Here is a 19,452-nt window from a genome sequence, read left to right on the forward strand (position 1 = left end):
ATTGAGGCATGACATATTTATGTGTGTGTATATATATAAACATGCACACACGTGTGCACATGTATGTTTAAATATTTTTAAATTAATAAATTTATATACTATAAAAGTCACCATTTAAAAGTGTATAATCTAGTGTTTTTTAGTGTATTCACAGAGTTGTGCAACCATCACCACCTTCTAATTTTAGAATATTTTTATTACCCCCCGCAAAAGAAACCCTGTACCCATTACCAGTCACTCCCCATTTCCCTCTTCCCCCAGCCCTGGCAACTACTAATTTACTTTCCGTGTCTATGGATTTGCCTATTCTGGCCATTTCATATAAATGGAATTATATAATACCCGGTCTTTTGTGATTGCTTTCTGTCATGTAGCATTATGTTTTTCAGGTTTGTCTAAGTTATAGCATGTGTCAGTGTCTCCTTCCTTTTTATGACTGCATAATACTCCATGTATGGATATACCACAATTGGCTGATCCATTTGAGTTGTTCCCACACTTTGGCTAGTAATACTGCTATGAGCGCTGTTTTCACTTCTCAGAAAACTCCACTCTTAGGAGTGGAATTGCTGGGTCATATGTCAGCTTTCTTTATCCTTTTGAGGAAATATATATTTTAAAAAAATTCAACATTTAATGATAAATCTAATTTTAATTTTAATAATGATAATCTAGCTCTATTTGAAGGCCATTATTCTTTCTTTCTTTCCTTTTTCTTTCTTTCTTCCTTTCTTTCTTTCTCTCTCTCTCTTTCTTTTTTCTTTCTTATTTCTTTATTTCTTTTTTGTTTTTTGTTTTTTTGAGATGGAGTCTCACTCTGTCGCCCAGACTGGAGTGCAGTGGCACAATCTCGGCTCACTGCAACTTCCGCCTTCCGGGTTCAAGAGATTCTACTGCCTCAGCTTCCCAAGTTGCTGGGATTACAGGCACGTGCCATCATGCCTAACTATTTTTTGTATTTTTAGTAGAGATGGGGTTTCACCATGTTGCCCAGGCTGGTCTCAAACTCCTGACCTCAAATGATCCACCCTCCTCAGCCACACCCAAAGTGCTGGGATTACAGGTGTGAGCCGCCGTGCCCAGCCATGAAAGCCATTTATTTTCAGGCCGGGCGCAGTGCTCACGCCTGCAATTCCAGCACTTTGGGAGGCTGAGGCAGGCAGATCACGAGGTCAGGAGATCAAGACCATCCTGGCTAACACAGTGAAACCCCGTCTCTACTAAAAATACAAAAAAATTAGCTGGGCATGGTGGCAGGTGCCTGTAGTGCCAGCTACTCTGGAGGCTGAGGCAGGAGAATGGCATGAACCAAGAAGGCAGAGCTTGCAGTGAGCCGAGATCACGCCACTGCACTCCAGCCTGGACAACAGAGCGAGACTTGTCTGGAAAAAAAAAAAAAGCCATTTATTTTCTGATCAGTGATGAAAGCAGCTCCAGGCCTTTACTTAATAGAACTTAGACTTCCAAGGTGGAGAGAGCTGCCTCCTTACTAACGGGATTGGTGCCGTGGGATGCTCTGCCCTCTCATGTCTAAACCCAGGGGAGGACCATTGTCCAGGCCTTTTCTAGAGCCAGCCTTGGGTAGGCACCATTCAGGCCAATCATTTCCGCCTCACCAAGGTGAGAGCACCTCTTCACATACGTATTCTTAGTCATGCATGTTGTCATGAGATCACCCTTCATTAGAACTCTTTGGGCTTAGATTAGCAAGGAAGAGAACATTCAGAAATGGTAAGTGAATCACGCTATTTTTGGCTCTTCCCAACAATACCCTTGGGTAGCCTGAGGTGTCATAACGCTGCTGTTATTAGGAAAATGATAGTCGTAAGTGTGCCTGGCTCTGTCTTTGTTTATTAAGATGACAAAGGCAGAAACCTCACAAGTGAATCAGCTTGGATCACCGACTCCGCAGGTCACAGTGGAAAATAGAACCAGGGACTGGGAGCGGCAGATCTTTCTGTAGTACTCAGGGTGTTTTTTCCAAGGGTTTTGTGCTGTCAAAAAGAGGATGAGCACCGAGCTTCTCAGGATCGCGAGAACAACAAAGAAAACCAAGTGGAAGCTGTGCCTTGTGCACTGGCCTCTCCTGCAGGAAATTCTCAACAGCCCTTTTAAAGTAATTTTAACAAAATCCAATCCCTCTCAGCGCAATTACTGTCAGAATGTCAAAGCAATGAATTTAATAATGTTTTGATAGCAAAGACGGTATACTTTTTCTTTCTCTGATCTCCAGCTTTTTCTACTTTTGCCTCTCTCTCCTCAGGAATATATTTATAATCCAATAATGGCAAGGGCTCAGATCTTTTAAAGTTAGAGAAGACTGGAGATACAGGGACGATTTAGGAAGATTTTTTTCACTTTTCCCTCTAAAAATCATGTTAATGTGTGTCACCGCACACGGACATAGGTGATTAGGTGGTTGAGACCTCACATTAAAATGCTTGTTTAGAATATATTCATAGTGGCTTTAACGGAATGTCTTGACTTTCAAAGACTCTATACCACTAATTTTGGGTGTTCGTATTTCAGCTGACCACTGGTATGTTCTTTGCTGGAGCGCTTTCTCATAAAGAATTTTCTCCTTTATGCTGCAAAGGTGGAATGAATTTCATAAATTATTTTGAGGTTAGATTTTTCAAATGAATAAGAGAGTATTGCATTTCAGAGAGGCCCTGGAGTCCCTGGTGGGAAGATTTCTAAGTAAATACATTGGATGATGCAAAAGGATGCAGGATGATTTTTTGTGGCTATATGTGTACAGTGATTTAAGGGGCTTTTGGTTGTGTGTGTGTGTGTGTTTGTGTGTGTGTTAGGGGATGCTTTAAAAATGCAGTTCCTGATTAGGCTGATATTATGTTATTATGTCATAATCAACTTAATGCTAGCAGAGCCCTCATTTCCTGTGGCATTAAATGGAAATATTTATTTATCTTTCCAGAACTATTTAAACATCATTTAAAAGAAACAATAAATATGACAAGTAGGTTTTGTTTTTTTTTTTTAATACAAAGGAAACTTAGCATGTATAAAGCAGATTCACTTTGCTGGCAGAGAGCTTCCTATTAGATTGGACTTGCCACAGCCTCTGTGTCTAGGGCTGTTGTTCATTTTTACAAAGGTAGAGTGTGTTCTAACTTCTTTATTATTCTATTTTAGAATTGTCTAAGCTTCTCTAAAATATAACGAGTTGTTTTTCCTTCCCCTAAACGTGCTTACTGAGCAGGATGCCAAAATCTGATGATTTGCCTATTGTATATAGAGCATCAACTCTTAACGTGAATCACCAAGAACGCCGATTCTGCTGAGAGGCTAATTTGAGATTCATGTGTTCATTCAAAATAACAAAGTCCAATCAAACTATACAGATAAAACACAACTGGGTAATACAATACCACCATCCCTAAGCAGGAAGAGAAAAGCCACGGGGCTGCAGGACCAGGAGAAAGAGACACATGATCAAAGGGAGCCCGAGCCTGAGCTCGGATGTGTGTCAACACCGTGGCTCCCAGGGCCATGACCTTATCCATTCATCAATATGGAGAAAAGGGCTCTCTGCGCTTAAGAGGAAGGCAGTGGAAGAGAGGAGGCCCTTCTTTGTTCTTTTGGGCCTGACAAGAAGCAGGCACAACCTGTGCTGGTTAGGGGGTTAAGAAGTTCTGTTAACTTTCAGGTTTTCTTGGATTTCTGCTCACATCCAGGAGCTGGGTGGAATCCCAGGGCCTTCTGCTGAGAGCAAGCACATATCTGGAGGCATCAGTTACAGCAAAAGTTTTGTGTTTAATTGGGTTTAAAAAAATAGCATTGGAAATGTGAGCTCTTGCAAAGCTCCAGCCCAACAGCTTCATGGATTGGGATGTACAGTGGTCCGCAGTGCTGATGCGAAAGCCTGACCCCCTTGTCCATATGCTGGTTTGACCACTCGAAAGTGGCGCTGGGCAAATCGCTCAGGCTTTTGTGCCTCTCTTTCCACAGCTACACAACAGGGAAAGCGGATTATCCACTTCACATGGCTGTTGTGAGGATTAAATAAGTCAATCTGCATAAAGCACTAAAAACTGAGACTCTGTGTAAGGACTGAGTCCATGTTCTCTGTAATTACTACTCAGTCCAGCCCATTCATTTTATCCACGGGAAGCTGAGACCCACAGTTCTCCGTGCTGAGGGTCCCACAGCTGTTCTCTGCTTGCACTGCCCTTGTTGGCTTTGGCTGAATTCTACTCATCCTTCAGGTCCCAGCTCCAGGCTCACCTTCTCTGGGAAGCCCTCCAGGCTTGGCCCCCTGGCCATAGACTCTCAGCACCCTCTACTTTTCTTTCTGAGCACGTATCCCATGGTTACTTTTCTCTATCTGCCTTCTGCACAGGCCATAGCTTAGCCCAGTGCTCAGCCCAGTGGGCACACAGTAAGACTTTGTTGAATGAAGGAAGGAAAATTGAATGAATACAGCTAGTGTCAGAGTTTGCACTGGGATGGAAGCTTTCTGGTAGCCAGTCCTATGTTCTGGAATAGTCCATATTCTCCCTGGAATTTCAAAGGAGTTTCTTCATTGACTTAGTGTCAATGTGTTTATTTTTTAGGTCACAATTTGTAGAGTGGCATCTTTCTAGTGAATGGGTCTTTCAGTTTTATAAACAGAATTTGTTTCTGGAACATTACGGGAACTCAATAAAGGTTTCATTTTGAATAAATAAATCAGGTTCATGGATGACACATTATTCTTGTATTTTACCAAAATACCCATATTGTAAATAAATCAAGAATTTGCACATCATTTGCTTTTAATACAGTGCTTTTGAAGATAAGACCTAACCAAAAAAAAAAAAAAAAAAAAAAATCATGTTCCCTGCAAAATGCCTGTTGCCTTGGGGAGTTATGTGCTTGGGGAGTTTGGGATGCTTTATTCTTAGTTTATTATTAAAATCCATCTTGTGACCATCCCTGTAGGCAAAACTTTTTCCATCCAACTTAATCCTGTCTGAGTTGGGTCTATCCTTCCCTGGGCCCCTTCTCTCTTACCTTTCATTGGGCTGGGGGGCATGCCCCCCAATACTCTTTGCTTATGGCCAAATTAATCACCTCTTTTAAGTATTTTCTGGAGTCTTTCCTCTTCACCTTGTCTTAGAATCTTTCACTTTATTATCCTCACCTCCAGCCTCTCACCTCGTAAATGGAGTGGCCCGCAAAGCCCTCGGGAATCCACTGTGGCATCTCCCTCTGCCAGTGGCCCTGCTGGGTAACCCTTCTCATGATGGTCGGGTTCCAGGGGAGAATCAGAAGCTCCGAGAGTTTAAATGACTTGCCCGGGCCGGGTTGGCGGGTCCATTAGAGAGAGCCAGACCCCAGCACCTGTCCTTACTCCCTTCCCCAGGCCCCCTTGCTTGGCTGCCTGTCTTTGCTCAGCCTCCTCACTCGGGGTGTTCACTGGTTCTGCCACGTCTCACGCTCTCCTCCCCTTCCCTCCTCTCCTGATGCCTCGGTGTTACACCATTCAGTTCTTTGGACTCAACCCTGAGCGGCTCCCCCAGGCTCTTTCCTGAGTTCCTGCCCCTCAGCCTAGACCTCCTGGGCTGGGCATGGTCTGTGGAGGCCCAGGGGAGAGACTGCCTTCTCCCATCTGCCTTCTCCCATCCCACAACCCTGGATGCATGTGATGCATGCACGCGCGCACACACACACACGCGCGCCCACCGCCATATACACAGGGTGCACGCTGACACAGAGCTCACACGTGTGTATGCAACACGTATGTGCAAACATGTGTACATTCATACACCCATGGATGCGTGCACATGCATGCACACACCCACACACGTACACTCATGCTCTCCCCCACGTGCATGCACATACGTGCACATAGTCACATGAACATGTGCTCACACTTGCAATGTGCCCACACAAACTCATGTGTACTTACACACTCGGGCGTAAACACACACACACACTCCTGATTTCCACTTCCCCAGCACTGCTCCTGTCTGCCTCTTTGCTCCACAGGGTTGGAGCAGCTGCCTTTCTGCCCCCAGGGGTGGGGGATCACCTGTATGTTTGTCATGGCAACAGGACCCTCCCTGACTCTCCTCCCTCGCACCCTCTGTCCTGAAGGGCAGTGACTCAGTTTATGGCGGCCAGTCTCAGAACTTTCCAACTGACCATCTTGAAAGAGATGCAAGGAGAGTCTGGGTGGGTGGCTGGAGGGGAGGGGAAGGGGTTGCTTGGTAGGCTGTGGGGGAACCTTGAATGGTTAGTCATGGCCTGTTTGCATGCTTGTGCTTTTGAAAGAACTTCAAACAAAGGGCTGTGATTAGGTGATACCTAGAGGGTGTGGAGGAGTCTTCTCCCCTTAGGTCCTTTCCGGATCTCTGTAAAAACACCCTGCACTTATCTCAACATCTGGTCTGTCTGCTGTGATGGGTCCCCTTTGAGCATTTCTTCCTGGAACTGCCTAATGAGCAGAGAAGGGTCCTGAAGCCTTCTGAACCCACACCACTGTCTCTCTAGTGGCCTCTTCTCTGCTGAGCTCCCTGCTCCTGCTTCACCGTGGCTTCTGGTTGGTATATCGGTGTTGCCTGTTGTTCCTAAGACATCCCCTGCACCCCTGCATCCTCACCCCCAGCACTGTCCTCACCAACCCATCCTCCTGCGCTGCCTTCTTCCTTTTTTTTTTTTTTTTTTTGATACAGAGTCTTGCTCAATCCCCCAGGCTGGAGTGCAGTGGTGCAATCTCGGCTCTCTGCACCTCCACCTGCCAGGTTCAAGCGATGCTCATGCCTCAGTCTCTCCAGCCTGTAGCTGAGACTACAGGCGCCCATCACCACACCTGGCTAATTTTTTTATTTTTAGTAGAGACAGGGTTTCACCATGTTGACCAGGCTGGCCTTGAACTCCTGACCTCAGGTGATCCACCTGCCTCAGCTTCCCAAAGTGGTTGGATTACAGGTGTGGGCCACCATGCCTGGCCCTGCACTACCTTCTGTGCCTTGAGCCACACCCCTTTGTTGCTTCTCCTAGCTCCTCTTTGAAGGCCCATTGGCCAAGAAAAAGCAACTTCCCATCTATCCCAGGGCCATTCTCTTCTCCTTCACATTTGTTCTCAGTTAAAAGTTAACACTGGGCCAGGTACAGTGGTTCACGCTTATAATCCCAGCACTTTGGGAAGCCAAGGTGGGAGGATCACCTGAGGTCAGGAGTTCAAGACCAGCCTGGCCAACATGGTGAAACCCCATCTTTACTAAAAATACACAAATTGGCCGGGCGCAGTGGCTCACGCCTGTAATCCTAGCACTTTGGGAGGCCGAGGTAGGTGGATCACCTGAGGTTGGGAGTTCGACACCAGCCTGACCAACATGGAGAAACCCCGTCTCTACTAAAAACACAAAAATTAGCTGGGTGTGATGGTGCATGCCTGTAATCCCAGCTACTCGGGAGGCTGAGGCAGGAGAATCGCTTGAACCCAGGAGGCAGAGGCTGCAGTGAGCTGAGATTGTGCCACTGCACTCCAGCCTGGGGAACAGAGCAAGACTCTGTCTCAAAAAAAAAAAAAAAAGGTTAACACTGAATTTCCAGTTTATATGCCACAGGGGGAGCTCTTCAGACGGCAGGACTGAAGGAAGATCCTCCCACTTCCCTCTCCCCTCCATGAAAGAAGTTAATCAGATCAAGGACCATTCACGTGAAGTGGGCATTCTACTTCCCTCACCGCATCGTCATGTGCCGACCAGCCTGCCCTTCACCTTCCTTCCCTTAAAGCACGTCTCACACTTAGCAGAGCCAAATGTTTTGCTCTTGGGATGGAGCTAGAGTAAACATCAGGCTTTTCACATGGACCACAAGGAGGTTTTCTGATAGAGCCAGTATTCTGGATAATATAGGCTTGCTCATAATTTTTTTAAAGGTCCATTATAATACACGAATACTGAGGCTGGGCGCGGTGGCTCACTCCTGTAATCCCAGCATTTTGGGAGGCTGAGGCGGGCGGATCACGAGGTCAGGAGATCGAGACCACGGTGAAATCCTGTCTCTACTAAAAATACAAAAAATTAGCCGGGTGCGGTGGCGGGCGCCTGTAGTCCCAGCTACTCAGGAGGCTGAGGCAGGAGAATGGCATGAACCCGGGAAGCGGAACTTGCAGTGAGCTGAGATCACGCCACTGCACTCTAGCCTGGGCAACAGAGTGAGACTCTGCCTCAAAAAAAAAAAAAAAAAAAAATACACGAACACTGAAACCTTATGAAGAAATTCACCCCTTTTAAAACTTTCAACTTTTATTTTTGCTTCAGGGTGTACCTGTGCAGGTTTGTTACATGGGTATATTGCGTGATGCTGAGGTTTGGGGTACAGATTCCATCACCCAGGTACTGTGCATAGTACCCAACGGGTAGTTTTTCAACCCTCGTCCTCCTCTTTCCCACCCTTCTCTGGTAGTTCTCAGTATCTGTTGTTCCTGTCTTTGTGTCCATATGTACCCAATGTTCAGCTCCCACTTACAAGGAAGAACATGCAATATTTGATTTTTTTTTTCTTTGTTAATTTGCTCAGGATAATGACTTCGAGCGGCATCCATGTTGCTGCAGAGGGCATGATTTCATTCTTTTTTATGGCTGCATGGTATTCCATGGTACATATGTACCCCGTTTTCTTTACCCAGTCCACCTTTGATAGGCACCTAGTTTGGTTACGTGTCTTTGCGGTTGTGAATAGCGCTGTAGTGTCTTTTGGGTAGAATGATTGATTTTCACCCTTTTTTATTCCAGTTGTCTCTCAATTTTTCTGCCTCTTTGGATCATTTGTGTCCTCTTTGATCACTGTTGAGTAGCTGAGCAGAGGGTCTGGGTTGCTCACTGTTCTGAATGGACTCAGGGACATAACTTCAGGGGGCTAAGGATGTCCCACAGTGAACTGCCTGAGTGAGGCACTTGGTTGTAGTTGTACCATTCTTAGTGTGGATTGCTTAGGAAAGGGAAATGTATCCAAAAGCTGCTTTTACAAAAATCTATAGACAATGTTTTTTAGAGCAGTTTCAGATTTACAGAAGACTTGCATAGAAACTATGAGAGTTCCCGCATACCTTCCCCCTACTCACATTTTCCCTGTTACGAATATCTTGTGTTCCCCTGGCACATTTGTTACAATGGATGAACCAGCATGGATACAGTCGTATTAACTAAGGTCTGAGTTTACCTTAGGGTTCACTCTGTGATGTCCAGTTCTGTGGATTTTGATAAATGCACAGTATCATGTAACACCACTACAGTACCATAAAGAATAATTTTAACACCCTAAAACCCCTCTATACTCCACCTATTCATCTGTCCTTTTTTCCCTCTCACACCCCAACCCCTGGCAGCCACTGCTCTTTTTACCATCGCCATAGATTCCCAGAGTGTCATACAGTTGGAGTCAAACAGTATGTAGCCATTTCTGACTAGCTTCTTTCAATTAAAAGCATGCATTTGACGTTCCTCCATGTCTTTCCAAGTGAATCACACCATTTTTGGCTCATCTTATTTGTTTTTATCACTGAAGATAAAAAGATATTCTGTAATATCTTATCTCTTTTTTCTTTTTCTTTTTTATTTTTTGAGATGGAGTCTCACTCTGTCGCCCTAGGCTGGAGCGCAGTGGCACAATTTTGGCTCACTGCAACCTCCGCCTCCCGGGTTCAGGCGAGTAGCTGGGATTACAGGTGTGTGCCACCACGCCTGGCTAATTTTTGTATTTTTAGTAGAGACGGGGTTTCACCATTTTGGCCTGGCTGGTCTTGAACTCCTGACTTCAGGTGATCAACCCGCCTCAGCTTCCCAAAGTGCTGGGATTATGGGTGTGAGCCACCGCGCCCAACCTTATTTCTTTTTATCACTGAATATGCCATTGTTTGGGTGTGCCAACGTTTGTTTATCCATTCTGCTGCTGAAGGACATCTTGGGTGCTTCCAGTTTGGGGAAAGAATGATTGAAACTGCTATAAACATTTATGTCCATAAGTTTTCCACTCATTTAGGTAAATACCTAGGTAAAAGCTATTTTAAAAAATGAGATTTTAGTGCCTTTTGTCCTAAAGTCTGGAAGAAAGTGTTCTCTCTCTTCCTATTGGATAAGTTACAAAGGACAGAGCAGGAAGTGGAAGTAAATAAAGCCAAAGGCTATTGAATGTTCTTTTCTTTTGCGTGGGTAAGTACACTGATCTTTTGGACAGAGACAGAAGTAGCTCACCCTCCCATTAACTAGCCATGGAACCTTTAAGCAGTTGGATTGGTTGTCACTGAAACCTTTTAGAAATCTGGACAAATAACCCAGGTTAACCAGGTTTATTCTGTGCATTTTTCTTAGGGGATGGGAGTTGGTTATAATGGGATGCTATGGGTGGGAAGATAGTGACTTTGAACTGATTTTATTTTTTTCTCAGTTTGCCTAATAATTATTTTTAATATGTCCTGCCCTAGTTTTAGGACATTTCCTAGATTTGAAAAGCGGATATTTTTTTTTCTTTTGCATTTTCTCTTATTTTTGGTCTTTCGTTTATATCATTCTTCTAATCACTGTGGTTGTTCTCTAGGCTTTTGTGGCCCCAGAATTACCCAACTTAGTTTTATTGTTCTTGGCAGTTGCTGTCTTTTACCTTGCCTCTTTAGGATGTTTTTCCCCACAGTATTTGCTCTGAACCAAATTTCTCCTTTAATGCCTTAGAGGGGCTTCCATTCTTCCCAGGCAAAGAGGGCTTAACTTCGTTTGAAACAAACTGTGGCCTTCCTTTAGATTTAGAGAGTACTGCTGTTTATAATCAGGGTTCACGGAATCACAGTTTGGGATATTGCTGGCATACTATTTTGTGTATGCATGTGTGTGTTTCGGAATTACTGTTTATGCCTGAATAGAAGTCAGGCTGATATTACATCTTCAGTATCTTCAGAAAAGAAGAAGTGCCTTACAGAGTCCTTGCAAGTCTCTCATATGATAAGGACACAATTTCAATCATAGTATTTTATTTTCAATAACAAAGTACTAGTTAGAGAAGACACATAAACCTTTATTTGGCTCACTGATGACTTTGGGTGCTCTAGAAATCACTCGAGGAACCCAGTAGGAAGGAAGGTAAAAGCATTTATGGGGCTTTAATAATAACTTCTAGAGATACGGCCTCTTGATTGTGAGAGTTTGAGAGACCAGTCTCAAAACAGTTCACTGAGTGGTTAATTTATGGAGATTTTAAATGGGTGTGTATGATTTGGGATAAGATTTCCAGCAAGTGCCTCATATGCAAATTTTAAAAATACTTTATCTCAAATATCCAGTCACCTGAAAGATCATGTTACATTGAACCACTGCACAAGGACTCAAAAAGTCATCCTGGTTCTGCCTGTGACTAGTTTGAATAAAATTGTTTCATGAAATGTGACAGTGTGGAAACAGTATTTCTTAAATTAACTATGTTAACCTTTTAATGTATGGTCTTAAATAGGAGGATGCAGCTTCAAAGATAAGTAGTATCAACAGTCATTTAATAATTCTATTGCATTCCTAAAAATTATACATTTGTGTTTTCCAAAAACCTTTTACTGAGGGACAAAGTCTTCCTGTTGGAAAAGCGAGGATATCACTGTATATTTGGAGTCACCCTATATTTGGACACGTGATATCTTTAAAAGGCAGACACAGTTTTGAAGTATTCTGTGTATTGTTTCATTTGGAGTGAAGGGAAAGTATGTAATTCTTCTTCCCATTGGTGGGCACATTGGATTGGGGAATGTCTGTTTATATCCCCAGTTTGAACATGGATCTTCCTTCTCAGCCAGTGCCCAGCCTTAAGGCTATTGGCAACTCTGAATCTGTTGGACACCTTTTAGAGTTCACCTTTTTTTCTGCATTTGACTCCTTAATTCTTACCATCTTGTAGTCCTGCCCTTCCTGTGACAACAGCCTGGCTGACATAACCCCTGCCCACCCCGCAACTGTTCTTTCCCAGTTTGCTGTGAATGCCAGTGTTCCCCACCAGCCTGTTGGGTCTTTCCCCCGCACCACTTCTCTGCCCTCACCTTCACAATCTCACGTCCTTTCAAGGCTTCAGCATCTGCCCATATTGAGGTTGAAAACTGGTAGCCTGCAAGGTTGGGGTTATGGTTGTTTTAAATATGAGTTTGTTGCCAACATTTAAAAATTGAGATCAAATCCAGACCTCTGGCTTCTTCTGTAGAATGAGGTGAGCTGGCAGTGTTGGGACCGAGCCGTGAGTAGCTGTCCCCGTTAAGTGGGGCACTGCTGTCCTGTTTGCCACAGCCAGTCCTAGCTATCGCTCCTTTTTGTTTCAGACATTGACGTAGTGTATCAGTTGCCGTTTTTGTTTTAACATGATTACGCCATTCAGTTCCCTACAATAGAGATAAGAGGAAAAAGAAACATTTCTCTTGCTTATCTCTCTATTCAAAAGTGAGAAAATAAAAGCTGGACCAAGAATGGTATGTTTAAAAACGGTGGAAGAGAACGTGTGTTTGTATGTGTGTGTTTGTGTGTGTCTGTGTGTGTGCGTGTGTGTAAGAGTGTTTTTACATAGTTAACATTCAAGGTATGCCTGCATTGGCAGGCTACAATTTAAGATGCCAGAGCTGATAATAATTGACCTAGATGGTTTTGATGTCCAAGTACATCCTTTGCCCACATAAATACTTCTGCTTCTGAAATCTCAAATGATCTCATCGGTAATCTGGATTCATTGGTATTTACTGAGTACCTGGAATGTGCAAAAGTACTGGGGTGCAATGGGAAGCAGGGTAGACATGTTTCCTGCCTTCTAGGAGCTTACAGTCGCAGGCGCAGACACCAGAGACACCTCACACTCAACATGACCCTGGGCTCATTTCTCCCTTCCACCTCCTCCCGTCACCTCAGTGTCAATGCATGGCATCACCCATTATCTGATTAGCAATCTTCATTCCATCTGGAACTTAATTCCCTTGAGCTCTGTAAAGTTAACATGTTCTCGGGTGTGACAGCAGGAATTAGGACACCAACATCTTTGGAGTCCATTATTTTGCCCATGATAATATCTGCCTGCTAAATAGATTAACTTATCATCACCTGCCAGTTTGTTATGACCCTTGGGCTCCAAACATGGAGGTCACTGGACTCATCAATTAAGTTGGCTTTCATGTGTTTTTTTTTTTTTTTTTTTTTTTTTTGAGATGGAGTTTCGATCTCATTGCCCAGGCTGGAGTGCAATGGTGCAATCTTGGCTCACCACAACCTCTGCCTCCCGGGTACAAGCGATTCTCCTGCCTCAGCCTCCCGAGTTGCTGGAATTACAGGCATGCGCCGCCATGCCCAGCTGATTTTGTATTTTTAGTAGACACAGGGTTTCTCCATGTTAGTCAGGCTGGTCTCGAACTCGCGACCTCAGGTGATCTGCCCACCCTGGCCTCCCAAAGTGCTGGGATTATAGGCGTGAGCCACCGTGCCCGGCCTCATGTGTTGTTTTTTTTTTTTTTTTTTTAAATTGCTTCCCCAAATCTGATGTTGCTCATAGTGTCACCAACCCAGGGCCACATTCATATGAAATATTTGCCTGGCCGCTCAGGCTGTGCCATCTTGAGTGATGTGTTCCTCTCTCCCCACACCCTGGTTCTGCTTAACTTCCAGGTTCCAGTTTAGGTCTTGCTTTTTCCAGAAACTTTTCATGATCCCTTCTGTCCTCTTTGCTGTCTGTCATGTCTGAAATTCTTCAGCTTTTATAGTCTACAGCAATTAATTATTAATATATCATGTCTTTTAAATATTTACTTGTTGATTGAGTTTTGGCAGAAAGCTTTATGGGTTGGTTAGAAGTGGCTCTAAAAACAGTTCATTTCCCTTCAGAAGCAAAATGTAATTCCATTATTTCGAATGCTTATCTGAAATGCTGTGTGGTTTTGTTTATTTCAGAGACTTGAAGATAGAGAATTTGCTACTAGATGAAGACAATAATATCAAGCTGATTGGTATGACTTTTTTTTTTTTTTAAGCAAAAGTATCTTTTAAGTGTTGTGTTGTCAGTTCTCAACTTTGAAAATTATCCATGGTCTATCTCTAATACCCAGACAATATTCTAGATTATCTTCTTTTACCTCCAATATTTAATAATGGTTTTGAAAATGGGTCATGTGTTTCCTTGTCTTATTCAAACTATAGCTTCTCCATAAATTCAGATGGAGCTGACCTTTTGTAGAATTTATTTTTATTTGGATTAACTGGAAAACTTCTTTAAAATAGTGAAAGATAGTTTGGCTTAGAAATGCTTCCCATAGCTTCGCCATATCTCATTCCACTTCTTGGTGAATGCAGGGATGCCTAAAGTAAGGGAGAATGCAATTGACCTTCTCTTTTTAATACAATCTTTATTCAGGCTTGTTGGTACAATGGGAGCTGTGCAGAGAAGTCCCCACAAAGGGATAATTAGAAGTCTGAACCAATCAGAAGGAAGCTACAAGATGGGGCATCATAATTGGTTCATAATTCATGGTCCATAGCAAATTCACTGCACAACTCGTTTTCTAGACGAATTCAGGTGGTTCTGTTGTTGTTATTTTCTCCCTCTGTGGTCGCTCTGGGCAGAATTCAGGGCATCATTTTTATATCCAGATATTAGATGGCACCATCTTTTATTCCCCTCTTTTCTTTTTTCTCCCACCTCAGATGCAAGTAATTTCTTTTACCTCAATGGCTTGAAAAGACTTTATATGAGGGGAAAAGAGAAGGATCAATAGGACTTTGTGAATTTAACTTTTATGCCCAAGAAGGAACTTTTGTTTGACAAATGCTGAAAGTCATCACAAGATTCTCCAAAACACATCATTAAAATGACTTATTAGATATTTTGGGATTACAGTCAGCTCCCAATTCAGTACTGGGCAAGAGGATGCACAGACTCTGGATAATTAAACACCACTGATAGGTGTTGATGGATACACTTATTACTAGAGAGTTAATCGTGAAGAGGAAACCAATTTTTCCCCAAAAGCATTTAGAAGAATCTATTCTTAGAAGATTCTTAGATAATTCAAAGGATTTTCTTTTCTTTTCTCTCTCTCTTTTTTTTTTTTCCTGAGATGGAGTCTCCCTCTGTTGCCCAGGCTGGAGTGCAGTGGTGCAATCTTGGCTCACTGCAGCCTCTGCCTCCCGGGTTCAAGCGATTCTCCTGTCTCAGCCTCCCGAGTAGCTGGGATTACAGGCACCCAGCACCACGCCTGGCTAATTTTTGTATTTTTAGTAGAGATGGGGTTTCACCATGTTGGCCAGGCTGGTCTCGAACTCCTGATTTCAGGTGATCTGCCCGCCTTGGTCTCCCAAAGTGCTGGGATTACAGGCATGAGCCACCATGCCTGGCTGATTTTCTTTTTGTTAAATTGTTTTACTATTGCATTTTAGTTGTCTTGAGGGGCCAAGTGCAGAAGCTGGAAAACAAGGCACTCGTGTTGAAATGCTTGCAGGAAGTCTCTCTGGTCCTCATTTCCGAGATCTGGAGTGTTAAACAAAGGGGCCTCCTGGTGTGGGGTAGGGAATGGAGGAAAGGAGTTTTTTGTTTTAGGTTCCCTGTAACTGTTCTTTGGAAAATGTGGAGGTGACAGTGATAGAGTTGTCCTAACAGCACCAGAGACTATAAAAGAACAGACTTTGTAACAGCAGTATTTATATGACAATAAAAGTTAGAATAGGCCAGGTGCAGTGGCTCACACCTGTAATCCCACTTTGGGAGGCCGAGGAGGGTGGATCACAAGGTCAGGAGTTCAAGACCAGCCTGACTAACATGTGAAACCCCCGTCTCTATTAAAAATGCAAAAAGTAGCCAGGCGTGGTAGCGTGCGCCTATAATCCCAGCTACTCAGGAGGCTGAGGCAGGAGAATCGCTTGAACCTGGGAGGTGGAGGTTGCAGTGAGCCAAGATCGTGACACTGCACTCCAGCCTGGGCGACAGAGCGAGACTCCGTCTCAAAAAGACTGAGGCTGGTGAGTCGTGTAAGGTACAGACGGAGTTTCCACATCTCAGGAGGTGGGCATTGCCCATCCTGTTTCTTCCCTTTCCTCTTGCCCCTCTGTCTCCTCTGTGCTTGGTCTCTCTGCTTTCTCCTTAAGTGGTAGCCCTAGGTGACCACTGACAGAACTATCTTGTGGAATAAGCAATGGTGAAATGCACAGACCTTTTTATTGGTTGGACGTTTGCTCAGGGGATTCTAGGAAAACCAATCATTTCACTGCTGCAATCGGTGGATGCATTTATAAGGAGCTCACGGATTGGTTGAGTAATAGAACCTCTTAGAGGAGACCTGTCCAGTCAAGTGAGGAAATTATACACCTAAATCAGAGCCCACCCCTTCCCCTCTTGCTGCATGTTATGGTCACTCTTTGGGTGCCAGGAACCATTTTATTCAAATCTCTCAGAGTCATCACCTCTCTGCTGGCAATGGCTGGGTGGGCACTACAAAGACATTTTAGGTATTTGGGACAAAATCGGCTCCTTCAGAAAGCAGGATGCCCGCACCTGCTAGAAAGCAGGCAGTGACCATTGGATTTCCCTTTGTTAAAGATGCCAATTTGGTTGCCAGTTCTCTACTGAGCAGTGGAAACTGAGGAACCCTACCTCATACCTGCCCCGAGAGAGACCTTAGACCACACCTGAGGGCTGGTAGGAACTGCATTTTGTTAAGAAAGAACCGCATTTCCGGAAGGCATGGAGGGAGAGATGAAGGCCCAGTGTGTTGTGAGGTTTCTTGCCCCTGGGTTGGGCAATTTAGATCAAAGATCTTCCAACTCCTGTCTTTTTTGTAAGTTGAAAGCTCTTTGAACCTTCTTTTCTTCAAAGGCATTACCTACTTTTTTTTTTCAAAGGTGATTATAGCTATTATGATTGCCTCTTAATAGTTTCTCTTTCTTTGAAAGAATTTGGTTTAAATAAATCTACTTAAGCCATGTTTCAAATTAACTAGAATTACCAGGAGTAAGATGTGATTTAATCAGGAGGTTTTTTTTCCCTTTCAAAAAAAGCAGTCTGATGTCTGGTAAGTTTAATCTTAAAATGGAAGAGCTGCAACTTAGGAGAGTTTTGCACTTCAGTATTCCAAAACAGGTTCACTTGGGCGTTTTGTGAGATTCATTCTGTAGCTCTCAGAAAATTGAGTCGTCGTTGGTTGATATATTTACCAAACCTAATTGAGACAGACCCATGTGACATTGCTGGGAGGTGGCCTTCTCTCAAGTTCCACAATTCCAATTATAGGCAGATGTGTACAGTTTTAATAATTTCAATTATGAATGTGAAGCAAACTGGTTGTTTCTCTACAAATATATTTTAAATCAAACCCTTTTGGCTAGATCAACATAAGTTGCTTAACATGCAGATTCTCTCTCTTCCACCTCCCAGATCCTCTGCTAAGTTTTCTTCTTGAAACTGTGCTCAAGATAAGGCCAGACTGTTCCCAAACTTGCCTGGGATGGTGGAGGGTGATCTGGCCTCTTATCTCTCTCTCTGCCCTCTTCTGAGAACAAGTCCTTCTTTCTGGACCTCAGGTCTCAGGGTGGTGAGGAAGTGAACAGATCGAGGCAGCCCTTTGCTGTGAAGGGACTGCTTTGAGATTAGGAACAGAGTCTTTTGCTTTGATCTCAGAAGTTTAGAGATAACAATTTCCAGGACTCTGATGAAATTGGGCCTCCCCAGCTATTATTGTGTTTATTTGATGGTGCTGTCTCTCACAGTAGGTGCTCCTCACACATTTGTTTGTTCATTAACATTCTTTTAGGTTCATTTTCAAACTGAAAGCCGTCAAACAACCCTCCAATTTAAAGCACAATACTATTTTTCTTGTCCCTCCCACCTTTCTTTTTGAGATGGAGTCTCGTTCTGTCTCCCAGGCTGGAGTGCAGTGGCGCAGTCTTGGCTCACTGCAACTTTTGCCTCTTGGGTTCAGGCAGTTCTCCTGCCTCAGCCTCCCGAGTAGCTGGGACAACAGGTGTGCGCCTCCGCGCCTGGCTAATTTTGTATTTTTAGTAGAGACAGGGTTTCGCCATGTTGCCCAGGGTGGTTTTGAACTATTGGCCTCAGGTGATCTGCCTACCTTGGCCTCCCAAAGTGTTGGGATTACAGGCATGGGCCACTGTCCCCGGCAGATTTTTCTTCTTATAAAAATATTCACCCCCTTTTCTTCCCGTTTCAGTGATCCTGAGGGGTGGGGTCTGAGAACAGGGTTTCTCAGGTTCTTTTTAACTGATATCTCCTCCTAAGGTGGGAATCCAGAGACAGTCCCACACCCATGACTCCTGAAGGACTTATCTGGGACAGGGTTTGTGGGGTCTATGGGTCTGGCTGGGTTGATGGGAAAGGAAATGGGGTGTGGGGGGAGGGTTGGGGAGGGAAGAGTAAGGGAGTCAAGGAGGAGAAGGGGAGGGAGGTTAAGGGAGAAATATGGAATCATAAAAAAACAAAAGAAGAGCTCAGTGTTTGGACATGCAGCATGCCTGGTTGGTTTGCTTGCCATTCCCTCTTATAGTTTGGGCTGAAGAGTCTGGGTGATATTTAGAGTCTTCAAGAGTTTTCTGAGCTCTGCTTAGATGAGATTCTTTTTAGAAAAGCTTAACGCAATGACTTTTGGAAAACATTTTGGCTGTGACATCTTGATCCATGGTGTGCAATTAACTTCACAGACTGGACTGTATTTCTCCTTCCCTGAGATTTCCTACAACGTTCCTAATGGTCATGTGCCTTGCAGGTGGAGACATGTTAGAGTGAGGTGAGAATACATTCGTGAAACTGGACATAAATACTGCCGATTGAGAAAGTGCGAGAGTTTTGTTCAAGACTGGAAGCCTGTCTCTGCCTGAGCCCTGCAGCCCGAGTCTTCTGTTTGTGGGGGATGGACCATAATATTTACATTGAAGTTCAAAGGATGAGCTGCGATCTTAATTCTGAGATCAACAAAGATTAAGGAAAGATTCAGATGAGGGCATAACAGTAACAGCTCTTTAATTACCTGTCAGTTTCAGTATCTTTAAGATCAAAAGATAAACATGGCGCAGAAGGCATAATAGACCCAAAGTCACTCGATGCAGTGGGCTTTCTCCCCCCTCTTCCTGGGCATCTTAATCATCCAGGAACAAAGCAGTGCCATGAGGTCGCTTAGTCTAGTTTGCATTGCCATCTTTCTGGTGCTACTTTTCCAGCCAGCATTCAGGGTTGTTTAAACTGTTGGGTGTATTTTTCCCCTCTTCAAGTCACTATATGTGCTGCATAACTTAGGGGGAATTTTTAAAAGACTTTCATGAAACGAAAACATTCAGCTGAAAAAGTCAACTGTAAGTGGCTGGATTGCATGTCACTGAGGGTGACACAGGCAGCCAGAGAGAATCAATCTTCCCTCATCTTTTCCCCACTTGGCAGCTTGGGAGCTAACTCAAATCCCCTCTGCTTGTTCTTTCTTCCTGCCTTCATCCTAGAAAGCGA

The 19,452-nt window shown here is 43.9% G+C and overlaps 1 protein-coding gene across 2 annotated transcripts in view, besides 2 other annotated features; it reads left to right on the forward strand.

Moving 5' to 3' along the window:
- The window catches only part of HUNK (hormonally up-regulated Neu-associated kinase), a 131,045-nt gene that overhangs the window by 53,238 nt on the left and 58,355 nt on the right, over positions 1–19,452 (forward strand). For both annotated transcript variants that reach the window (NM_014586.2, XM_011529537.3), the window contains exon 3: positions 13,908–13,963. In NM_014586.2, coding sequence (NP_055401.1) covers positions 13,908–13,963 — 56 coding nt within the window. The remainder of the gene's footprint in view (positions 1–13,907; positions 13,964–19,452) is intronic.
- Positions 5,091–5,654: an enhancer, noted in NCBI's record as "H3K27ac-H3K4me1 hESC enhancer chr21:33303660-33304223 (GRCh37/hg19 assembly coordinates)". NCBI's record gives its function as "activates a minimal SCP1, AML or CMV promoter by ChIP-STARR-seq in primed H9 embryonic stem cells {active_cell/tissue: H9 hESC(primed)}" and the evidence as "EXISTENCE:reporter gene assay evidence [ECO:0000049][PMID:30033119]".
- Positions 16,536–17,037: an enhancer, noted in NCBI's record as "NANOG hESC enhancer chr21:33315105-33315606 (GRCh37/hg19 assembly coordinates)". NCBI's record gives its function as "activates a minimal SCP1, AML or CMV promoter by ChIP-STARR-seq in naive H9 embryonic stem cells {active_cell/tissue: H9 hESC(naive)}" and the evidence as "EXISTENCE:reporter gene assay evidence [ECO:0000049][PMID:30033119]".

This window comes from Homo sapiens, chromosome 21 (assembly GCF_000001405.40).
Source record: "Homo sapiens chromosome 21, GRCh38.p14 Primary Assembly".
Lineage (NCBI taxonomy): Eukaryota > Metazoa > Chordata > Mammalia > Primates > Hominidae > Homo > Homo sapiens.